Here is a 24,557-nt window from a genome sequence, read left to right as displayed (position 1 = left end):
ATTAATACCCTGCCTGTGATTCAGGTCGTCAAAGTCAGAGCTCTTCTTGTTGAAGAAACCTATTTGACCTAACAAGGAGGATATAGGCCCTAAAACCTGACTCTCAACTTGATTGTTCTGTTCCATTGGGGAGGTACGAGAATAGTCATGGGGTTTGTGAATGTTTGTGACTGGGGTGTGTGACTGCACGTGTGTGAGGAGACTGTTTCTTACTTTGGATACATTCTGACTTTTACCTGAGAAAGTAGGCTTCCCCTCTGAGGCTGTGAACTCTTTTTTAAGTGCTACTAATATCTTCTGTTTTTCAGAGGTGACACAGAATTTAATAATGTAGCCTTTTCTGCCAAGAGTTTTATTCATTGTTTTCCATTACTGGTCAATGACGCATGACCGGATTCTTGCCCTTATTTTGCAGTTGAGGAAATAGGGACAGAGGGTTAAGCAATTTGCCTAAGACTACACGTCAAAGCAGCAGTAGAATTGGCATTAGAAATCACTTTCCTGGAATCTTGGCTCAGTGCTGTTTTTGAAAAGCAATTATAAAAGTTTCAAACAAAAAAGAACAAATCATACATAGCACACATTTGGGAACCCATTGCTCAGCTTTGGAATTTTCGTAAGAAACAAATATTTACAGATAGGGTAAAAGCTCCCTTTGTACCCCTCCAGGTTACCACCCTTAATCCTCCCCTCCTATGAGAACATCAATATCCTGAATTTGATGTTTTGCATCCTCATACACATTTTACTCTATATTTATGTATCCATAAAAATATGGTACAGTTTTGCACATTTGACTATATTATTGCTGTTGTTTTGTATGAATCTTTCTATAATTTGTGCTTTTTTGCTCAATATTGTTTTTGTGATATATCCATGTTGACACATATGGCATTTGTGTATCCTTTTTACTTATATTACTTTGCATTAATATATTGGTTTATTCTTACTCTTTATGAACATATTAAAGCTTTTTTGCTATTTAAAATTATAAACAATAATGCAATAAACATTCTTGTAACTTTTACCTCTGAATACTTTCTTAAACTCCATTTGAAAAAAAAAAGAATACTATTATGGAGATATGCATAGAGACTCAGCTGCCCTGTCTAAATTTTGTGTTAGAATAATGCAGGACTGAGTAGCAAAAGCAAGACTCTTTGGCTATATTTACATTTGAGGAGACACAGTCTAAGCCTAAAACCAATTCACGTTCTGTGTACACCACAATTTTCAGTTGATACATCAGGATCTATCATTACATCTTGAAACCTCACCTATTAACAAACTGGCTATTATTAATGATACTGCTTTCCTGAACCAGACCTGAATTTCTGTGGTCTGCAGAATTTTTATTGGGTTGAAAAAAAAAAAAATGGCAGCAACCCAAGTATTGGGTTGATAGAGGTGTGCTCTGAATAAAGCAAGTTTTGTCACTATAGAAATAGAAATAGTGGCCTAAAAATGTTAAAAAAAAAATCAAAATTACTTTTCTTGTAAGAAGCACACCATGGGAGAGGAAATGAAATTTCCATGAGACATCATGCCTGTGTATTCTAACACACTCTCTTTATGAGGTGGGAATGGGGAAAGGATGGCCAGGTGCTTGATTTACATTTAGGATTCTTATAGTCTGTTTAAAATGGCTTATTAAAACATTTCCATGTCTATAATGAAACAAAATTATTTTGATAAATCATGCTCTGTTCTGGAGTCTCAGCGTTCTGAAGAATTTGGTCTATTGTGTTAATACTAGAGCTGGTTTTAGTACTACCAATGGTAAAAACATCAGCAGAGATTTGGGAGAAATTACTGGTACAGCAGTTAAGAGACAAAGTTTTAGCCTTGACTCCTCCTCTGACTATGAACTTTGTGAAAAAGTCACTTCAGTCCCAGTCACTTTGGACATGGGGTTGCCCTAACTCAGGGCTTTGCAAATGTTTTATGTTGATCCTAGGAAATGTTAAATAAATGTGGTGTGTTGGAACTACAATTTTTGAAAAATTATGAAATACAAAAATTTCGAGTGCAATGTATACACTAAGGGTAAATATCATTTCATAAGGTTTTTGTTACAGAGGGGTGTGTGTGTATGACTGCTGTGAGATGTTTGTAAAGTAAGCTTTTTTCTTTTTATAAATTGAGGTATTTTTGATAATTAAGGATTAGGTATACCTAAGGCATACAATTTGATGATGTATGATACATATCCATTATTAAATAATTACCATAGTCAAACTAATTACTACTTCCTCACCTCAGATATTTATCACTTTCTCTCTCTCTCTCTCTGTGTGTGTGTGTGTGTGTGTGTGTGTGTGTGTGTGTGTGTGTGGTGAGAACATCTACAATCTACTCTGTTAGCAAATTTCAAATACATAATAAAGTATTGCTAATTAAAATTGCATTGTTATGTATCAGCTCTCCAGATGTGATGTCTTCATCTCATGTTAAAGGAAACTTCTTATTCTGTATTGCTTTCAAAACTGTTTGAAAGCCATTTGTACAAGCCTGACTTCAGAAAGAAGCTCAGGGGCTTTCCAGAAGGGGTTAAGCCCTTGTTTAAAACTCATCAGTTGCCCGCATTTTCTAGGATGAAGCCCAGATTCCCCAGCAGAGCAGAACATGATTCTCCTTCATAAATCTTGCCCCAGGACTAACCACTCCAAGGACATTCTGAACTGCACACTCCGTGTTTCTGCAGTACTGGCTCATGCCTCGTGCCTTTGCTATTTTCCCCTCAGCCTCAAACGCTCTTGGTAGCTGCAAAGCATTATCTTTGCTGGATGCCCTCCAACACCCACCAATTCTTATAGAATTGTCCAGTGCTTCCCTTGCTTCACAAATCTTTACTGAGTTATGTCATAGCCTGCAGTGTACTTTCCTGGATTTAATAATAGTTTAAATATCCATCCCACCCTACTAGACTGTGGAAATTTTGAATTCGGGTCTTTATATCGTAAGAATTTAGGTTCTTCAGGATATAATGAACTGTTCTACCATGAAGCCAAGAAAAAGAATTTAAGTTATTTCTTTTTCTCATGCACATTCTCTGTTCCCCATTGCTCTTAAAATCATCTTATTATTTAAAAGCAATATGTGTTCATTTAAAATGATATGAAAAGGCAGTTGAAGCATTACACTAAGTTGCACAGCCTAAAGATGGCCACTGTTAATATCTAAACTAGTGTTTCACTCTGCCTATATACATATGCCAAGAGAAGCCAACATACAGGCATGCATGTGCACGTGCACACACACACACACAAGCACACATTGTTACACAAATAAGTTTATTCATTAATCTGGCCAATTCTTCTTTTCAGCAATGTCAAGGACACTTTCTATGTCACCGATATACCTGTACATAATTTTTAATGGCTGCTTATAATTCTAATTTATGGCTTCCCCTGGGTTTGTTTTGGTTGCCATTTATCAACATTAAAAGCAGTGATGGTGGACTTGACTTCTTATTTCTTGCATGCCATGATTATAAATTAAAAAGCAACCTTATTGTCCTTACCTTCTTTGATTAGCCACCAAGTCCTGGTCTGATTTTATAACTCCCTTCAAGGCATTCCATATTCGGCCTCCTTCCCTTTATCTTTAGGCTATCTTTGGGCTGTGTCCTGTTAAAATTCCTGTATATCAGAGAACCTTCTACCTCACAATGTGATGTCTTCAGTCAAACTTTCTCTTTTGTATGAGAATCATCTGTAGTTATATAGTAAAGATATGACTTTTGACAACTTTCTCTTTTAGAAACAAATTCAATGGAATCATGCATATATTTTATATGACTATTTTGAACCTCACTTCCCTAAACCTATCTGAATTGTACCCAACCTTCCTCTATTCTGTGGTCATAAAATCCAAGATGAGATATGATTATTTTCAATGGAAATTCCCACCTTACCAACCACTTCTGCTCTTAGATATATATCACTAGTATAGTTCACTGGGATACTTCCTCTCTCCTCTGGAGCTAAAGTCACAAACCAGAACTATTCAGATATATTATTTTGCTAAACTGCAACATCTGGTACAAATTTGAAAAAGTACAAAGCCTCATTACTACTAAAATTCATTTGTGTCAGTTTTTGTGAACTTGTAAGGAAGACATCATCTATTTCTTCAGTGAAACTCGGTAACGTAGTTGTAGTCCATCTTATTTTCTCCTGTTTTTAGCCTCAGTTAAAGCTCTCAGGAATTTATCTCTCAGTTTATGGATTCAACAGTAGAGTGTATTTTCATACTATACAGTACTTATCCAACCATTCACTTAGACAGTCTTTTTGTTTCTATCACTATAATATTGAATCCCATCTCACCAAGTCTTGGGGACATTTGGGTCATAACGTACATTGTCTCCGTTTTTAGTATAAAGTGTATGCCATTTATTACCCATGCTTTAGTTGTTAGTATGCAGAAATCTGAGCAACCAGTGTCATTTCCTGCTTTCTACCCAATTATCTCATACTGTGAAGTATAGCCTCATGTTTTTCCTCTTTCCGTGTCATATCTGTGCTTCTTTATAGTGCTGGTTCTCAAGCAGGATATATTTTTCTGTCAGGAGACACTGGCAGTGTCTGAAGGCCATTTTTACTGTTACCTTGGGAAAGCTGCTACTGGCATGCGAATGGTAGAGGCCAGGGATGCTGTGAAACATCCTGTAATGCACAGTATGGTCTTCCTCCCAGCAAAATATTACCTGATTCAAGAAGTTAATAGTGCTGAGTTCAAGGACACTTGCTGTATAGCAACTGATTTCATGTGTCTTATTTGAACTTTCAGATTTCTCCCAACCCTGAGTTGTTCAATTTAATATATTCTCTTGATTCAGACTAGCTACTCAATGGCAAAAAAAGGAAAGTTATATCTCATGACATCTATGTCTTATGCTTTTGTTAAAGTGAGACAGAAGCCAACATCTTTGTCCAAAATGCTGGTAAAATAGTACTGTAGGACCACTTGATATTACCATAGTTATACAGAATAGAGAATGAGAGAATTAAGCATATTTGTAAGTAAAGAAAAAAACAGGTAAATTAATAAGTATGGTTGTCCTCAGACACCCTTAGCTTCAAATGATATTTCTTGTTATAAAATTGTGTTTGAGGCTGGGTGCAGTGGCTCATGCCTGTAATCCCAGCACTTCAGGAGGCCAAGATAGGCAGTTTGTTTGAGCTCAGGAGTTTGAGACCAGCCTGGGTGACAATGGCCAAACCCTGTCTCTGCAAAAAATACAAAAAGTAGCTGGGCATGGTGATGTGCTCCTGTAATCCCAGCCACTTTGGGCACTGAGGTGGGAGGATCACTTGAGTCTGGGAAATTGAGGCTGGGCTGCAGTGAGCAGAGATTGGGCCCCATTGGCACTCCAGCCTGGGTAGGCAGAGCAAGACCCTGCCTAAAAGAAAAGTTGTGTTTGCAAATAAATGTATTGAAAAAACCTCCATGGGCAGCTTAATGTGAACACTGTCTCATTTTATTTTTCTCCTTTGTTTTTTCCCCTTCAGATATTTCACATTTTCAGGAACAAAATGATTTAAAAGCATTGCTAGAAAATCTCCTTCAAAATATCCAATCCAAAAAAAGAAAGAATGTAGAAATTATGTGGCTGGCTGCAACGGTAAGCACTCTCATGTCAAATCTTATTTCCTGCCATGTCATAACCAGCAAATATTATCAGTTCTCTACTGTGCAGGGTCCAACCTCTGCACTTTGGGTTGCCAGGTGTCATCTTCTATTAGTCCATGGATTAGGCATTTTTACTCTTGTTGGTAGTTCTATCCATAGACTAGAACATAAGATAGAAGAAGATGCACTTAAGAAAGACTCTTGCTCACTTGCTATTCTTACCAACCTTGGATGTGTTCTCCACTCTGAGGAAGTGTCTGTGAGTTTCTTGATGTTGCGTATTGCAACGTCAATTGCCCGTATCACCCAGGATTTTGAACTGCTGCTTTAGAGACATATGGTTTCAACAGAATGTGGTTATCAGATCTCTGATTCACAGCTTCAGTAAGGCTCCTGGACATATTGTTCAGTTAATGAGCTTATAAATGTGTTTGTTAATTTAGATGTTGGCATAGAATTCATTACTGATGGATTGCTCTTGGGGTAATGAACTATATTTTGTATAGCTCTTTCTCATTTAATGGTGCCCTTGGGGTAAAAGAGCTGCCTGTGTTCTCACCCCAGGTTTCTATAAGAATTAGAGATAACAAAAAAAAAGCCTGTATTTTTAAGGCTCTTATCTGGTAACCGTTGAGGCATAGCTCACATGAAATTTATGAATTGTGTTAAACATTCAGACCCAAACATCCTTTCATTAGGAATGCATCCTTCCATCAGGAAAGGTACATGTTAAAGATCTTTATGATAAATGCCATGTTTGCAGTTTCTGCAGTGTTACTCTTATAATTTGGAGCTCAGGTTAACCATGCTTCTTGCATACTCTATTCATTCTCTAGCCATAGCATTTAAAACAGAAAGTTTTCCCCTACTTCCAGTGCTTCAATTATAATTCAATATCACTTACTTTCTTCTGGGAAAAAGGAATGGATAATTTACCATGAGCCCATATGAAATAATTTACCAAAAGCAAGGCAGAGGAAAGCTTCTTTAGTTTCCCTTCCTGCCTTCTTGGAGCCCCAGGGAAGAACATCAAAGGTAACAATATGAAATGTCGCTTTCAGGCAGCTGATTTACACTGGTTCCATTTAGCACCATACTGTATTACATGAAGGTTGTTTTTAATAGTGTGGCTGCTCTTTGTATCTTCTAAGACCACTACGGTTGTTAATTCTAACAAAAATTTCACAATGGTAGGTCATAAATTGGATTTTCTATTTTACTGAAAACATGACGGCATGAAGATAGTTTGATACTCATGCCATCTGATGATTTACAAACATATAAATGTGTCATTATGTACATTGTGAAGTTATGTAAATAGATAAATTAAGGATACACATGTATAAACACAAATGTGTATTTTAGTATATGCAATTTCCCATTTTAATGTATGAAAAAGTTTTCCTATAAATCCCACACATTTCTAAAATATTTTTTTGAAATGTGTATACTGACCAAATATGATTTACTCACAATTCACCACTGAATGAATGATTAGTAGCATTTCTGTTAGCTAATGCCTCAGTTTCAATATTCTATTTGTAAATCATGGGCCTATTTATGATACTTTTAAAATAAATACCGAAATTCCTTTTGATATTTTCCAAAAATATTTTGTTAATATTTGTTTTTATTTTATTTTCCTTTCTTTTAAAAATTTATTTAATGAAATACTGCTTTAGTTAATGTTTTACATTCTAATTGAAAAATATAAAGTGGCCAGGCGTGGTGGCTCACACCTGTAATCTCAGCACTTTGGGGGGCCGAGGCGGGCGGATCACGAGGTCAGGTGATGGAGACCATCCTGGCCAACAGTGAAACTCCATCTCTACTAAAATACAAAAATTAGCCGGGCATGGTGGCACATGCCTGTAATCCCAGCCACTCAGGAGGCTGAAGCAGGAGAATCGCTTGAACCAGGGAGTTGGTGGTTGCAGTGAGCTGAAATTGAGCCACAGCACTCCAGCCTGGTGACAGAGTGAGACTCCGTCTCAAAAATAATAATAATAAAAATAAAAATAAAGTCATTTGTTTTTTTCTTCTTTAAGTTTAAATAGTAAAAGTGAAGACTTAAAGAGGACAAATGACAATCAAGTGTGTTAAGTCAATAGTTCAGGTATTGTAGAAATCAAGGCCTAACCTGTGTACTCTGATGGAAGTGCCCTTACCTCCACTAGACTTTAAATTTAGAACATTAAATATTCTAAGTAGGACAAGTGCATATGATAGTAACAATAAATTTTAAGGAATATTAATTCAATTTGAAAATCATATCTCATAAATAGCCATTATGGTCTATTTTATTATTATAAATATAGTTAAGAATTTTTAAAAATGAAATACTATTTATTTGAAAGGATTAGAATTTTTTAGATGTAAAAAGATTGTATGGAGACATCATGCTCTCACATTTTTCTAGTCACTTATATTGGAAATAGAAGTACCAAAGGTCTGAATTAATAGTGATGTATAAATTCAAGTTTAAGAATCACAATTAAAACATGGTAATAAATTCTAGATTAGCTATATTATTTTACCTTCTTTTAAAAGCGGACAACTTTTAAAGACTGCTTGATGACAGATAATAAAGAAGACCTTTGTTATATCACATTAGATCTATTTTAAATGCACACTGATTAGCATTGTAATGCCGAAGTTGATTATTGTTATCTCATGTTAGAACCCTACCATGGGATAGAAGACAAAGGAATGGAATGATTCCCCTATTACTCATAAGGCAATGAGACAAGAGAGTATTGATGCTCAGTGATTTTTCTCTGACTTAAATCAGAATAACAAAAAGAAAGAACCATAGAGGAAAACAGAACATAACAGAAATTAAGAGACTTGATTCTTGAACTTAAGTAGAGTTCTGTTTGAATCCTGGTTCTGCTCTGTTATGTGCAAGTTACTTAACCCATCTAAACCTCAGTATCCTCATCCGTAAAATGAAAACAATTATACCTTCCTCTAGAGTTCTGCGAAGTTTATTTATTTACTTTTATTGTTAATTTGGGAGGTTTTTTTTTTTTTTGAGACAGGGTGTCACTCTGTTGCCCAGGCTGCAGTGCAGTGGCATGATCACAGGCTCAAGTAATCCTCCCACCTCAGACTCCCTAGTAGCTGGGACTACAAGCATGCATCACCATGCCTAGCTAATTTATTTATTTAAATAGAGAGGAGGCTTTGTTATGTTTCCCAGGCTAGTCTCAAACTCTTGAGCTCAAATGATCCTCCTGCCTTGGCCTCCCAAAGTGTTAGGATTACAGGCATGAGCCGCTGTGCCCGGCCCCTGTGAAGTTTATTAAAAAGAGCAAATGTATATGAAATTTCTTAGTGTTGTACCCTAGAGCACAGTCAATTTGCAATAAACAGTGGCCATTTCTATTGTTCTCCTTTTTAGTATTGATGAGTAGTTCCCTTGTCTGTTGTGAGGCACCATGAGGATGTTTAAAATCTCATAACATAAAGCCAAGACTAGCAAATGTTTCTTAAATGAAAAATAAGAGAATATTAGCTATATACGATTTGAATCAATTGTTTGATCCAGGGAATATAGTTTTTTGGTTGGTTGTTTGTTTGTTTTTTCCTCTTTACAATGATGGTGTTATTTCTGAGCTGGGATTAGTTTAGCATTGTCCTACACTGCAGACCAGGCACCCCCCTTGGGTAGTGTGCTGCGTCCTCTGCTGGATAGTTTACATCTTATATGGCTTCAACAGTTCCATGCCTCATGCACAAAGAAATAAATTGGGTCCATTGTGTTGGCTTTTGAAATGAAAAGGTAATGCTTTTACATTTGATGAGACCGATTGAACAAATTGACTATCATAAACTAACAGAAACCCAAATTTATATTTGATGTGTTTAGACTAGAAGTGTTTGGAGGAGGCCGACACTTTACGGTATTACAAATGAACAAGAAACGTTCGTTCTTACATATGTTACAGATTTGCCGCAAACTGAATGGTATTCGTTTCACCTGTTGTAAAAGTGCCAAAGACAGGACATCGATGTCAGTGACACTTGAACAATGCTCAATCTTGAGAGATGAGCACCAGTTACACAAGGACTTCTTTATCCGAGCGCTGGATTGCATGAGAAGGTATCTCACATGTTTTTCAAGTTTTTTTCTTTTAAGGTCATTTTGAGTTGTTTTTATTTTTTTTTTCAAAATACATATTTTATTGGAGGACTAAATATTTTAGAACTTTACTGCATTTTCATGGCTTATAGCTTATGACATCAGAGATAGATAATTTTCTCCACCTGTATAATGATTTCATCTCTATCTATATTTCCCCTACTCATTTTAGGCTACTTTTCTAAACTTTTCACTTTTAGAAAACGTGGCTGTGTACACATTTGATGACATGCATTATTATATATGATATTATATATTTTATTAGCTCATTGGCTCAAGTTAAGGGGCCCCGAAAATCTCATATATAACACTGTAAGAGCAAGTTTTCATGATGCATAAGTATTTATGAGTACTTGCAAAATTAAACTAACTCATTATCCAAACAAAAGCTTTCCAAATTACAACTAATAGGTGATATTCCCATGGCCCACAGAATCTCTGGGTCAGTAACCTCCTTTCTAAAGTTATTTTCACATCACTCATCATGAAGATGGGATGACACTGATACTTTAAAATAGAGAATTAATATGGTTACTCTGCCGACATTTAAAATGCTGTGCCCGAAGTCATGTTTCTTGATTCATTTCCACAGTAATTAAATCTAAACTGTAAGCCGTAATGGGAAGGAAAAAGTGCTTCATTCACAGTGTCTATCAGCAAGGACACACGTTAATTAAAAAGTTAAGCGAAATTGTCTCTTTGCTGCAAAGCCTAGCTCAGAAGCACACTAGGAAGCATGGGACAGGCTCTGGGTTCCCAGAAAGGAATGTCATATGATTCACTGGAGAAGGCTGCTTCTTATCTAGCCTGCCATTAGCTATCAGTTTTCTTTTAACTGCTGCAGTCTTTCATTGGTGACATTGATGTTTGCTTGTGTTTGTTCTATGCCTCTGTGTTTTCTCACTAACGAGAGGTTTCTGAAGTTCTGTATTTCATCCCATTTCATGTCTCTTGGCATTTTCATTCTTCCGTGGAGCTCTATCATAATTTTTTGATAAATGTGTGAGGATGTCTTAGAGGCCTGACATGAACATCTCAGCCATATACAACATGTTTGGTTGATATAAAAACTTCTTTCAAAAAATAATATCTCAGCACTAATGGTAAAATACCAAATTCAAGTATGAAATCTTCAAATCTGCAGAAAAAGAACAGAAATGTCACTATAGATGGAACAAAGGTGCTTGGTGAGAAATGCAGGAATGCATGATATTATAGGTCAGGTACACCATGGGACTAAACTGATTTAGGTAACAAATCTTCTGGAAGATGAAATTGGTGTGCCTGTTTATTTAAGATAGAAGAGGGGACCCTTAAATTAGACATAAAATAATTCAAACAGGTAAATAAAGGCAATATATTTACTGGACATGTTATACTATAGAACAATATATTTTGGTATTGCCTATGATGGACATTATATATGCAATACATTTGCTCATGATATAGCATTTGTGATGATTCATTTTTGTGTTTTTAAGGTAAGGCACTAGAAATTTAATCTAAAACACTAAAGGCTTAACTTCAAATCCCTAGTATTCTGGTGATCTTCTTCTTCTTTTGGTTTTGTCTGTATATGAGGACCGTGCCAGAGTGTGAGTGTTGGCCTGTATTTGTGTGTATGTATGCATGTATTTAAAGAAAATAAGATGAGTTCTTTTCTTTAATAACTGCCTTCATTTCCCTCTGGGTATTTTGCCTTACAATACAGGCTCATAGGTTTACAAGCTCTGGCAACACAGCAGAGTAGATATGAACATGAGGTTTGGGAGCCAGCTAATTTGAATCCAGGCTATATGCCATACATTACCCATAGGCAAGTTAGTCTCTCACTGCCTCTTAGTGCCTTAGGGCAAGTTACTCAACCTCTTGTACCTCTCAGTTTCCTCATCTTTTAAAACAGACATGATAATAGTAGCTCCATTTTAGGAGTGTCTCGGGGATTAAATGAAATGATACATGTACAGGAATTAACAATGTTTGGCACATGGTAATCACTAAATAATGTTGGTTAAAAAAATTAAAAAATCAAGGGCTGTAATGTTAATACTCTGATTTTCCATGTGCAGTATAATCTAGCTAATTATGATCCTTGTAGTTTTATGTTTGTGAATATTTTATGACATAAGGTTGGACTACAATAGCATATATTAAAATGAAGTGTCCTGGCAGCTCTTGTAAATAAGGTTTCAAATGCAGTATCTTCCCTATTTAAGTAAATCAGCTCTTTAAATAGCACTTTAAAAATGTGCAAGTGTTTGCAAATGCTGTGTTAATTATGGAAGCATCACAATCCCTGAATAGGTTTTTTATAAACATTTTTGATGCTAATGCATATCTAGAAATAATCGTAGAATTTAAGATAAAGAAGTCACCTTAGAAATTTCTTATAGATATTTTTATACATATAACTCTTATAAATTTCCTACCGCACATACAACAGTGAGTGGTTCATGAATAAACATTTCTCAAGTTACTGCTTAATGCTGATTGATTACTGGGGTCCCAAAATTCTGGATTCTGACAATATTTTACAGTTGAGTTTTTTGAGAGGAAGCAGATTTTCCCAGCTCCTCACTCTGCCATCTAGCAAGTCCCACCCTTCAGACAGTGGTTTTTAAATGAACATCAGAACCACCTCTGGAAATTTAAAAAATACATATGTTTGATTGGTGTGTTAAAAGGTGGAAGGATGAGAAGGGAGGGAGGGATGAGAAACTACCTGTTGGGTATAATGTACACTATTCAGGTGACGTTTACACTGAAAGCCCAGACTTCAGCACTATGCAGTATGTCCATGTAACAAAGATGCACCTGTACCCCTTAAATCTATTTTTAAAAATGTATCAAGATGTAGTTTAAGTTATCATCATCTTGGGTTCAATTTTATAATAAAACAACATGTCCTATACTAAAACGCAATACATATGTTTAGACCTCACATGGATTATAATTGAGAAGATCTGAGGTGGGTCCCAGGATTTAATTTTTTAAGAACTTTACAGACATTCTGGGGAACAACTCTGGATTTTTAAAAATCAGTGTTTTAAAGGAATTTGATTTGTATGTTTTTGAATTTACTGCAACTTTTAATTTTATTTAACATCAGTTGCAGTTTATTTTACCTTTGAATTACTCCAATCACCTTCCAGGCTATTTTCTCTGGATTTCTTAAAAATTCACCAAGGTTTCTTCATCATAAAAACTCAAGGGAAAAATAAAGTTCGCCAAGGTTATCATATCACTCTTTATTTAGTTTTATTTTGTCCTTATCTATATTAAGTATTTTCTATTGTATTGTGCTTATCTCTGTAGCAGTTTCAAATTATTTACGATGAGCAAAAGTATATAAATGAAAGTAAATAAATAAAGCTCCATTTGGCTCTTATTCAGAAATCCCCTCACAAGAAGCAGCTCTCTGAAGGTAGAGATTTTCGTTTCTCTTTGTTCACTACTATATTTCCAGTACCTAGAACAGTACCCAGTGAACATAGTATATATTTTTTCTCAATAAATATACAATAAAGGAATACGTGAATGACATGGGTTTCTAAAACTTTCGGGTCCTATGTATTTGGTGGTATTGTGCATACATAAGCATTTTAAATTAAGCATATGAAGTTATCACTTGATTGTGACATATTGATAAGCACAAGCTGCAGAATATGAAAGTAAGAGTCTTATTATTCTAATTCAAAAACAAATAGGCAAATATTATCCTAATTCAAAAACAATAGAAACCATTTCAGCTCACCACCTGAATCCACCCTTTGTACAATTGTCAAAAAATTCAGACTTCCTTTTTTTCTACTTATCCAGTATTACTTTCAGCTGCACACTCCTGATGGGGCTTTCGGGTACCATCTGTTTGATGAAATGGCATAAATGCCTCTTCAGATTAGAAAATTAAACACAAGGTGTCTGGGTGATCTGACTCTCTAAGGATCTCTTAGTGGTTGCCTGTATCATTAAGACCAAAACAGTGATTCTTAACCCTCACAGCCCATCAGAAATCTAGAAAACTTTTTTTTTTGTTGTTAAAGGCAAAGTCCCACCACATACTAGTTTCTAGGGGGGAACCATGATTGAGAACCACTTGACTAAAGTCTACTTTATTTAAACCAATTTTAATTTAAATCCGTAATTGATTTTAATGACATTATGACAAGACTATAAACCTGGTATGTCTATCCTTCCCTTGAGTTTTGAAATGTATGTGTATTGCAAAATTCTACCTTGATCACCTATGGCACAAGTTGTACCACAAAGGTGGCTTAATAATTTGCAGGTTTTTTTTTTTAAGAAAGGGAGAATACTTTATCAGAATTCAGTTTTCAGTTTTGGACTCTCCATGGAATGCTAAGAGCTGTCTTGTCCCAATGCATTTGCAGAAAGCATTTTTAGTAGGAACTTTCAGACTTCCTATTAATCAAACTTATATTTGATTAATAGACTATTAGGATTGGACCTTAAAAATACAATAATAAATTTGACTGGATTTTAAAATGTCATATTTGAACAAAAAATAATTGTATAGGGAAATTTAATGCCTCTATAAAGTAAATTAAAACAAAAATACCATTGTACTATTATTTTTCCTTAACAGGAACTCTAGGATGATGACTACACAAAGTAGTAATGTGACACCATAGTTCTCAATTGTCTTTTGTTTTATACTATGTTACTTCCTCAATCTGTCATAGCTCCTTAAAATTAGGATAGTTAATATGCCATTAGTAAGAAGACTCAGGGTAAGTTTCAGCATATACCTATGTATCACCCTCGCAATACAGGGCTTTAGTCATTCTATTTCAGTAAATATTGAATTTATAAGAGACTTAAAAGGCCCATTGGCCTTATTGAGTTTCATTTATCAAATGTCATATTCTCAACATGTTGCGCCTGTAATTTATCTGTTGGGGGAGCATAATTTATGAAGTATTCTGCTTTATAAGTAAATGACTCTTAACCAATTGATGTCAGTAAAAGATGTATTTGCATGACTTCCTCCCTGATAGGGTTCACTTTTAAGTAATGTAGTTCAATTATTGTTGAAATAAAAAAGTTTCTTCCTTTTGTCTTTAGTCTTGTTTCCACTTGAGCTTATTTTTTTCTTTGTTTTTGATTGTACTTTTAGAGAAGAGCTGCTATTATTTCATATTATATCCTATTTCAAATATTAAAGAGAAGTATAAGCATTGTAAGCATAGGTAATTGAAGCTTGCAGCTATTTTTTTAAATTTTATTATTATCATACTTTAAGTTTTAGGGTACATGTGCACAACGTGCAGGTTTGTTACATATGTATACATGTGCCATGTTGGTGTGCTATTTTTTGACTACTTGAAAGGGATGTGTTTGTAGGGAACATCGTAATTGGGAACAGGTCTTCCATGATTGCTAAGTATTGTCTCCTCCCTTGAGAGTTTCAGTGGTGTGTTTGCTACATTACTTCAGTCAGTATTTGCAGCAAATAACAGGAATAAGCTGAGAGAGAGAGTCACCTTCATCTCAGGGTTATTAATAAAAACATGAAAATTGACCTTATTTGGGATGTTTTTACTTCAGCTGAAGGTGAGTTGAAAGATACTGCAAAGAATACACATCTTAGAAATCATGTTAGAGCAAGTAGCTTTTAATAAGCCATCCACTATAAACCCCAAAAGAGAACTGATCTTTCTGGGAAAATCAAAGAATGGCCTACAAAGGACTTCAACTTCCTGAACAAAATGTATGTGCTAATTTTCGTCGATCTTCTTCTTATATTCATGCCTGACAAGATTGTCATAGTATTCTATTGACAGAAAAATGATGATTTTGAAGTCTATTTCTTTCCCATACTTTCTTTTGTTGATAGTGTTTGTTTTCCAGTCATAGCAACTTGAGACCCTGTGAGTGTGGAGGCCATAGTACAGAGCAGCCATCAGCTTTATCCACACCTTCCCAAGTCAACCACTTCTTTCAACTCCCAAAATTATTAACTAAGTGCCTAGACATAGAAGGATGTGAAACATACATTTTAACTTAATAAAATAATACAATGGAAATGAATCTAATTGAAACAAATACATTTAACTTATGCCACAAACACAGATTTTTAAATCCAGGAAGACCTGGAGTTAATTCCTTATTCTAACACTAATTATCTGTGCAGTGGTGGACCCATTAATTAATCTCAAGGCCTCAGTTTCCTAACGTGTGAAGGCGAGATGATGCTCCATTGCCCTCTTGTGAGTGTTGTGATAAATGAGATGACTTAAAGTCTCTGCACCCAGTGGGCATGAAGTGTTCTGCTGAGAAATGTTACCCTTGCTCTCTACACTCTCCCCATCTCTATCTACCCTGCTTGTTCTTCCTTAGAACATTTTTCTCTAAAAGTGCATCTTTGGATATTGCTAAAATGGGGAAGTTCTCCTGGTCTTCGAGGTCTTAGGAAAAAAGTCTCAGGATTAACATTTGGTTTCTAAAAGGCTTAAATTGTCTCTCAGTGACAGTGGGCTAGTGGGCTACAGGGTTTGGAAATCTTGCTAGAGCCCTAGCTATAGCATCGGGGAATCTAGAAACAACTTAGCTTAGAGTCGGGGTTAGTGCATATCCGGGGCCCCCAGAGAGCAGCACTCAGCACTCAGTTTGTGGAACTAGAGAATGTCTAAGTCCTGAATTCCCACAGCTTTCACTGGCAAGTTAGGATATCCTGTAATTAATGTGTCAGGAGCCCCACCTCTGGAGGTGAGTTGGGAAAACAGGTCATTAATAGAAATATGTGGTCGTCATTTTCATAGTCAAAAGTGAACATCTTTTGTATATCTACTATGGCAGAGTACCATGCTATACAAATGGAGAAACACATTTGAAATTATAATAGCCACTAATAGTCAATGAGGACTTACTATGCACTAAGAATAACACTAAGCATCCTATATGGGGAAACTGCTAATTCCCACAAGAACAGAATCAAATAAATGAGTCCAGAGCATAGAAAGTGTTCATTATTAAGTGGCTCAGAGGATAAAAAGAATCACTGTGGCCAGGAGGTATCCTGGAGGAGGTAGAATCTGAACTGTGTCTTAAGGATGCATACAATTTAGGTAAGTTGCCAGGAGTTAGGAAAATCTATGTTAGAATTATCTAAGTGGATAAGAGTAGTGCTTATTCATTCATCACACTTGTCAAGTGATTTTGCTTACGTTTAAGTGTTGTAATGTGTGGCACATTGAACAACTTATTTTCTTCAGCTGATATCAAGTTTTTGAGATCTGTATTTATTTTAGATCTAGTTATCTTCTTTTAAACTTATATAATACTCCCTTGTATAAATAGACCACAATTTATCTATTGCCCTAGTTAATTTTAAGTAACAGCAAAACATCAGATGTTTTACCAACATCTGATTACCAACAATAGTGTAATAGACATTCTCACATGTATATCCATGTATATAAACCAATAGGTATAATGGGTGGTAAGGCATTTGTATTTTTAATTTTGCTAGATGCTGCCAGATTGCTTTTCCAAATAGCTATACTAATTTATAAGCCACAAGGCATGCACATGTGTTCCCATTTCTCCACACATCCCAATACTTGTACTGTAAGAGTTTTTAACCATCTGATGGATGAAAAGTGCTATCTTTGTTTAAGTTATATTTTCTCAGTAACACAAAATAAGATTAAATATCTGTCTAAACATTTACTGGCCATCCAGATTCTCACTCATCTCATCTTCTATGTTTCATATAATGGAGTTTTGCACATAATTGCAAATTATGAAAGGTTTCCAGCATTTATAAATAAACCACTGGCCTGTTGTGTTTAAGTTACATTTAGAAGACACTGTTTCAGGAGTGGTGCATTTTTTTAAAAATGTGCTTTATTTTTATTTTTTAAATGAAAGCACAGTGGAATAAGACAGGAGCATCCCTTGGGTTTGGACAGAGAATGCATCATGCTATGACAGGAGCCTGTGACATGATGTGAAGCTTTTTAGCTGGGAGGGGGACAGGGCTCCATTTTAGATAAGAGAAAGACACTTCCAGCTGAGAAACAAAAACCTACAGTTGATTAGAGAGATGATTGATGCCTTTGCACTTGGAAAATGAGGTGTAGCAAGAACTAGTCCAAGAAAGGTCTCATTTTCACTAAAGAAGGCTGAGATGCAGGCAGCCCAAACCTGAATGATCTATGGAGAGCAGTTATGCCAAAACCTAGAGTCTATTTATGCCCCTGGAAGGTTGAGACAAGAGAATCAAGGAAATAATTTTCATTTCACTGCCTAATGATTTTTTCTACAAACACCATCTGCCTTGTCCTAGCCAATGATATCCATGAATTCATATATTCAATATGCCTATTATGTTTGTCCTCATATACAAAGAAATCCAAAACCATTAATTCAGTGAATTATCATTATACTGTCTAAAACTTCTTGTCTTCCATCAGAACACTTGCTATACTCAGGTAAACACTGTCATAAAATGGCTTCAACCCTTCTTCTAACTTGAATATTGGTTATAGTGCTCTAGACACTGGTTCAAGGGAACAAATTGGATGGCTTCACAGGCCAATTTCTAAAGAAAACTGAACTGGGAGGCAACTGTATTTATGAATAAGTACCCAAAATGTTGCAAGCTTTTCTCCTGATCAGAAGACCACAGATGACAGAGAAGTTCAAATGCTAGGCATAATATATTAATGTTCAAACGATAGTGGCCTAAAGCCCTATGAGCAAAAATGCATTATGCATAATTACACTCCATTCTCTTCCATTTAGTGAGCCTATCAGAACTCATATGAGTGTGAATGACATCATTATGGGGATCAAAACTGTAATTTATAGAGCATATCATTTGCAAAATTGGTATTTTATTAGTAACAAATCACATGTGATATCTCTCAAATACCATAGTATTATTTAGGGGTAATCACTGCTCTGAATACCCTAAAATCTAACAATTAGGCCAGCTCAGCAAAGAGCAGGCTGCCCCACTATGGCACATAAAGTGGGTAAGAGGAAGGACTTTGGAATTAGACTGCCTGATTTCTCCACTTCTTAGCAGTGGGAATGAAATTCTAAGAGGCCTTAGGTTCTTTATCTGTAAAATGAAACAACATATATAAAGAAATTGGTAACTGGGTATAGTTCATAGTAAGCAGTTGGTAAAGTCAAACTTATATTGTAGTGATAATTTCACCAGCATCCTCATCTAATAGGGTTGTCATGAGCGCTAAAAGAGACAATGATCACTGATGCACTTAAATAGTACTTGTTACACAGTGAGGATCAGTAAATATTAAATGCTGTCATGGCTATTACTGATGTGTGGTGATGACTGTTATTACTGTCATTATTGGTTCTTTGTCATGGCAGCTTCCTATCACATTGTTTTTACTAAACTGTAAATGGTTGTTATGTCCTCAAACTATATTGAGGAAAGGTAAAAAAAAAAAAAAAAGTCATTTCCACTATTCATATCATCTGTTGCATTGGTTCTCTTTTATTTACTTTTTTTTTTATTATTATCCTTTAAGTTCTGGGGTACATGTGCACAATGTGCAGGTTAGTTACATATGTATACATGTGCCATGTTGGTATGCTGCACCCGTCATTTACATTAGGTATATCTCCTAAGGCTATCCCTCCCACCTCCCCTCACCCCATGACAGGCCCCGATGTGTGATGTTCCCCACCCTGTGTCCAAGTGTTCTCATTGTTCAATTCTCACCTACGAGTGAGAACATGTGGTGTTTGGCTTTCTGTCCTTGCGATAGTTTGCTAAGAATGATGGTTTCCAGCTTCATCCATGTCCCTACAAAGGACATGAACTCATCCTTTTTATGGCTGCATAGTATTCCATGGTGTATATGTGCCACATTTTCTTAATCCAGTCTATCATTGATGGACTTTTGGGTTGGTTCCAAGTCTTTGCTATTGTGAATGGTGCCACAATAAACATATGTGTGCATGTGTCTTTATAGCAGCATGATTTATAATCCTTTGGGTATATACCCAGTAATGGGATGGCTGGGTCAAATGGTATTTCTAGTTCTAGATCCTTGAGGAATCACCACACTGTCTTCCACAATGGTTGAACTAGTTTACAGTCCCACCAATAGTGTAAAGGTGTTCCTATTTCTCCACATTCCCTCCAGCAACTGTTGTTTCCTTACTTTTTAATGATTGCCATTGTAACTGGTGTGAGATGGTATCTCATTGTAGTTTTGATTTGCATTTCTCTGATGGCCAGTGATGATAAGCATTTTTTTCATGTGTCTGTAGCTGCATAAATGTCTTCTTTTGAGAAGTGTCTGTTCATATCCTTTGCCCACTTTTTGATGGGGTTGTTTGATTTTTTCTTGTAAATTTGCTGAAGTTCTTTGTAGATTCTGGATATTAGCCCTTTGTCAGATGGGTAGATTGTAAAAATTTTCTCCCATTCTGTAGGTTGCCTGTTCACTCTGATGGTAGTTTCTTTTGCTGTGCAGAAGCTCTTTAGTTTAATTAGATCCCATTTGTCCATTTTGGCTTTTGTTGCCATTGCTTTTGGTGTTTTAGACATGAAGTCCTTGCCCATGCCTATGTCCTGAATGGTAATGCCTAGGTTTTCTTCTAGGGTTTTTATGGTTTTAGGTCTAATGTTTAAGTCTTTAATCCATCTTGAATTAATTTTTGTATAAGGTTTAAGGAAGGGATCCAGTTTCAACTTTCTACATATGGCTAGCCAGTTTTCCCAGCACCATTTATTAAATAGGGAATCCTTTCCCTATTTCTTGTTTTTGTCAGGTTTGTCAAAGATCAAATGGTTGTAGATGTGTGGTATTATTTCTGAGGACTCTGTTTTGTTCCATTGGTCTATATCTCTGTTTCGGACCAGTACCATGCTGTTTTGGTTACTGTAGCCTTGTAGTATAGTTTGAAGTCAGGTAGCGTGATGCCTCCAGCTTTATTCTTTTGGCTTAAGATTGTCTTGGTAATGCAGGCTCTTATTTGGTTCTATATAAACTTTAAAGTAGTTTTTTCCAATTCTGTGAAGAAAGTCATTGGTAGCTTGATGGGGATGGCATTGAATCTGTAAATTACCTTGGGCAGTATGGCCATTTTCATGATATTGATTCTTCCTATCCATGAGCATGGAATGTTCTTCCATTTGCTTGTGTCCTCTTTTATTTCGTTGAGGAGTGGTTTGTAGTTCTCCATAAAAGGTCCTTCACATCCCTTGTAACTTGGATTCCTAGGTATTTTATTCTCTTTGAAGCAATTGTGAATGGGAGTTCACTCATAATTTGGCTCTCTGTCTGTCTATTATTGGTGTATAGGAATGCTTGTGATTTTTGCACATTGATTTTGTATCTTGAGACTTTGCTGAAGTTGCTTATCAGCTTAAGGGTATTTGGGGCTCAGACGATGGGGTTTTCTAAATATACAATCATGTCATCTGCAAACAGGGGAAATTTGACTTCCTCTTTTCCTCATTGAATACCATTTATTTCCTTCTCCTGCCTGATTGTCCTGGCCAGAACTTCCAACACTATATTGAAGAGGAATGGTGAAAGAGGGCATCCCTGTCTTGTGCCAGTTTTCAAAGGGAATGCTTCCAGTTTTGGCCCATTCAGTATGATATTGGCTGTAGGTTTGTCATAAATAGCTGCTATTATTTTGAGACATGTCCCATCAATACCTAGTTTATTGAGAGTTTTTATCATGAAAGGCTGTCGAATTTTGTCGAAGGCATTTTATGCTTCTATTGAGATTATCATGTGGTTTTTGTCTTTGGTTCTGTTTATATGATGGATTACATTTATTAATTTGCGTATGTTGAACCAGCCTTGCATCCCAGGGATGAAGCCAAGTTGATCATGGTGGATAAGCTTTTTGATGTGCTGCCGGATTTGGTTTGCCAGTATTTTATTCAGGATTTTTGCTTCGATGTTCTTCAGGGATATTGGTCTAAAATTCTCTTTTTTTGTTGTGTCTCTGCCAGGCTTTGGTATGAAGATGATGCTGGCCTCATAAATGAGTTAGGGAGGAGGATTCCCTCTTTTTCTTTTGATTGGAATGGTTTCAGAAGAAACGGTACCAGTTCCTGTTTGTACCTCTGGTAGATTTTGGCTGTGAATACATCTGGTCCTGGACTTTTTTTGGTTGGTAGGCTATTAATTATTTCCTCAATTTCAGAGCCTGTTATTGGTCTATTCAGGGATTCAACTTCTTCCTGGTTTAGTCTTGGGATGGTGAATGTGTCCAGGAATTTATCCATTTCTTCTAGATTTTCTAGTTTATTTGTGTAGAGGTGTTTATAGTATTCTCTGATAGTGTTTGTATTTCTGTGGGATAGGTGTTGATATCCCCTTTATCATTTTTTTATTGCATCTATTTGATTCTTCTCTTTTTTCTTCTTTATTAGTCTTGCTAGCGATCTATCAATTTTGTTGATCTTTTCAAAAAACCAGCTCCTGGATTGATTGATTTTTTTGAACGGTTTTTTGTGTCTGTATCTCCTTCAGTTCTGCTCTGATCTTAGTTATTTCTTGCCTTCTGCTAGCTTTTGAATGTGTTTGCTCTTGCTTCTCAAGTTCTTTTAATTGTGATGTTAAGGTGTTGATTTTAGATCTTTCCTGCTTTCTCTTGTGGGCATTTAGTGCTATACATTGCCCTCTACACACTGCTTTAAATGTGTCCCAGAGATTCTGGTATGTTGTGTGTTTGTTCTCATTGGTTTCAAAGAACATCTTTATTTCTGCCTTCATTTTGTTATGTACCCAGTAGTCATTCAGGAGCAGGTTGTTCAGTTTCCATGTAGTTGAGCGGTTTTGAGTGAGTTTCTTAATCCTGAGTTCTAGTTTGATTGCACTGTGGTCTGAGAGACAGTTTGTTATAATTTCTGTTCTTTTACATTTGCTGAGGAGTGCTTTACTTCCAACTCTGTGGTCAATTTTGGAATATGTGTGATGTGGTGCTGAGAAGAATGTATATTCTGTAGATTTGGGGTGGAGAGTTCTGTAGATGTCTATTAGGTCTGCTTGGTGCAGAGCTGAGTTCAATTCCTGGATATCCTTGTTAACTTTCTGTCTTGTTGATCTGTCTAATGTTGACAGTGGGGTGTTAAAGTCTCCCATTATTATTGTGTGAGAGTCTAAGTCTCTTTGTATTTCTCAAAGGACTTGCTTTATGAATCAGGGTGCTCCTGTATTGGGTGCATATATATTTAAGATAGTTAGCTCTTCTTGTTGAATTGATCCCTTTACCATTATGTAATGGCCTTCTTTGTCTCTTTTGATCTTTGTTGGTTTAAAGGCTGTTTTATCAGAGACTAGGATGGCAACCCCTGCTTTTTTTTGTTTTCCATTTGCTTGGTAGATCTTTCTCCATCCCTTTATTTTGAGCCTATGTGTGTCTCTGCACGTGAGATGGGTCTCCTCAATAAAGCACACTGATGGCTCTTGACTCTTTATCCAGTTTGCCAGTCTGTGTCTTTTAATTGGAGCATTTAGCCCATTTACATTTAATGTTAATATTGTTACATGTGAATTTGATCCTGTCATTATGATGTTAGCTGGTTATTTTGCTCGTTAGTTGATGCAGTTTCTTCCTAGCCTTGATGGTCTTTACAATTTGGCATGTTTTTGCAGTGGCTGGTACTGATTGTTCCTTTTCATGTTTAGTGCTTCCTTGAGGAGCTCTTGTAAGGCAGGCCTGGTGGTGACAAAATCTCTCAGCATTGTTTTGTCTGTAAAGTATTTTATTTCTCCTTCACTTATGAAGCTTAGTTTGGCTGGATATGAAATTCTGGGTTGAAAATTCTTTTCTTTAAGATTGTTGAATATTGGCCCCCACTCTCTTCTGGCTTGTAGAGTTTCTGCTGAGAGATCCGCTGTTAGTCTGATGGGCTTACCTTTATGGGTAACCCAACCTTTCTCTCTGGCTGCCCTTAACTTTTTTTCCTTCCTTTCAGCTTTTGTGAATCTGACAATTATGTGTCTTGGAGTTGCTCTTCTCGAGGAGTATCTTTGTGGCATTCTCTGTATTTCCTGAATTTGAATGTTGGCCTGCCTTGCTATGTTGGGGAAGTTCTCCTGGATAATATCCTGCAGAGTGTTTTCCAACTTGGTTCCATTCTCCCTGTCACTTTCAGGTACACCAATCAGACATAGATTTGGTCTTTTCACATAGTCCGATAGTTCTTGGAGGCTTCGTTCGTTTCTTTTTACTCTTTTTTCTCTAAACTTCTCTTCTCACTTCATTTTATTTATTTAATCTTCAATCACTGATACCCTTTCTTCCACTTGATCAAATTGGGTACTGAAGCTTGTGCATGTGTCGCGTACTTCTCGTGCCATGGTTTTCAGCTCCATTAGGTCATTTAAGGACTTCTCTACACCGTTTATTCTAGTTAGCCATTCATCTAATCTTTTTTCAAGGTTTTTAGCTTCCTTGCAATGGGTTTGAACATCCTCCTTTAGCTCAGAGAAGTTTGTTGTTACCGATCGTCTGAAGCCTTCTTCTCTCAACTTGTCAAAGTCATTCTCCATCCAGCTTTGTTCCGTTGCTAGTGAGGAGCTACATTTCTTTGGAGGAGAAAAGGTGCTCTGATTTTTAGAATTTTCAGCTTTTCTGCTCTGGTTTATCCCCATCTTTGTGGTTTTATCTACCTTTGGTCTTTGATGATGGTGATGTACTGATGGGGTTTTGGTGTGGATGTGCTTTCTGTTTGTTAGTTTTCCTTCTAACAGTCAGGACCCTCAGCTGCAGGTCTGTTGGAGTTTGCTGGAGGTCCACTCCA

The 24,557-nt window shown here is 36.2% G+C and overlaps 1 protein-coding gene across 59 annotated transcripts in view; it reads left to right on the top strand.

The window, feature by feature from the left end:
- Nucleotides 1-24,557, top strand: part of INPP4B (inositol polyphosphate-4-phosphatase type II B) — an 823,376-nt gene that overhangs the window by 754,763 nt on the left and 44,056 nt on the right. For 56 of the 59 annotated variants that reach the window (NR_169617.1, NR_169615.1, NR_169599.1 and 53 more), the window contains 2 exons: nucleotides 5,517-5,629; nucleotides 9,588-9,742. Coding sequence is in view for 50 of the 59 variants with exons in the window: in NM_003866.3 (NP_003857.2) it covers nucleotides 5,517-5,629; nucleotides 9,588-9,742 (268 nt within the window). In the remaining 9 variants the exon portion in view is untranslated. Of the gene's footprint in view, nucleotides 1-5,516; nucleotides 5,630-9,587; nucleotides 9,743-21,758; nucleotides 21,919-24,557 lie in introns of all 59 variants that reach the window. The other 3 variants (NM_001385347.1, NM_001385348.1, NM_001385362.1) reach the window with 1 other exon arrangement.

Source organism: Homo sapiens, chromosome 4 (genome assembly GCF_000001405.40).
Source record: "Homo sapiens chromosome 4, GRCh38.p14 Primary Assembly".
In the NCBI taxonomy this organism is placed as follows: Eukaryota; Metazoa; Chordata; class Mammalia; order Primates; family Hominidae; genus Homo; species Homo sapiens.
The sequence above is the reverse complement of the archived record's forward strand: the minus strand, read 5'-3'. Positions and strand labels throughout refer to the sequence as shown.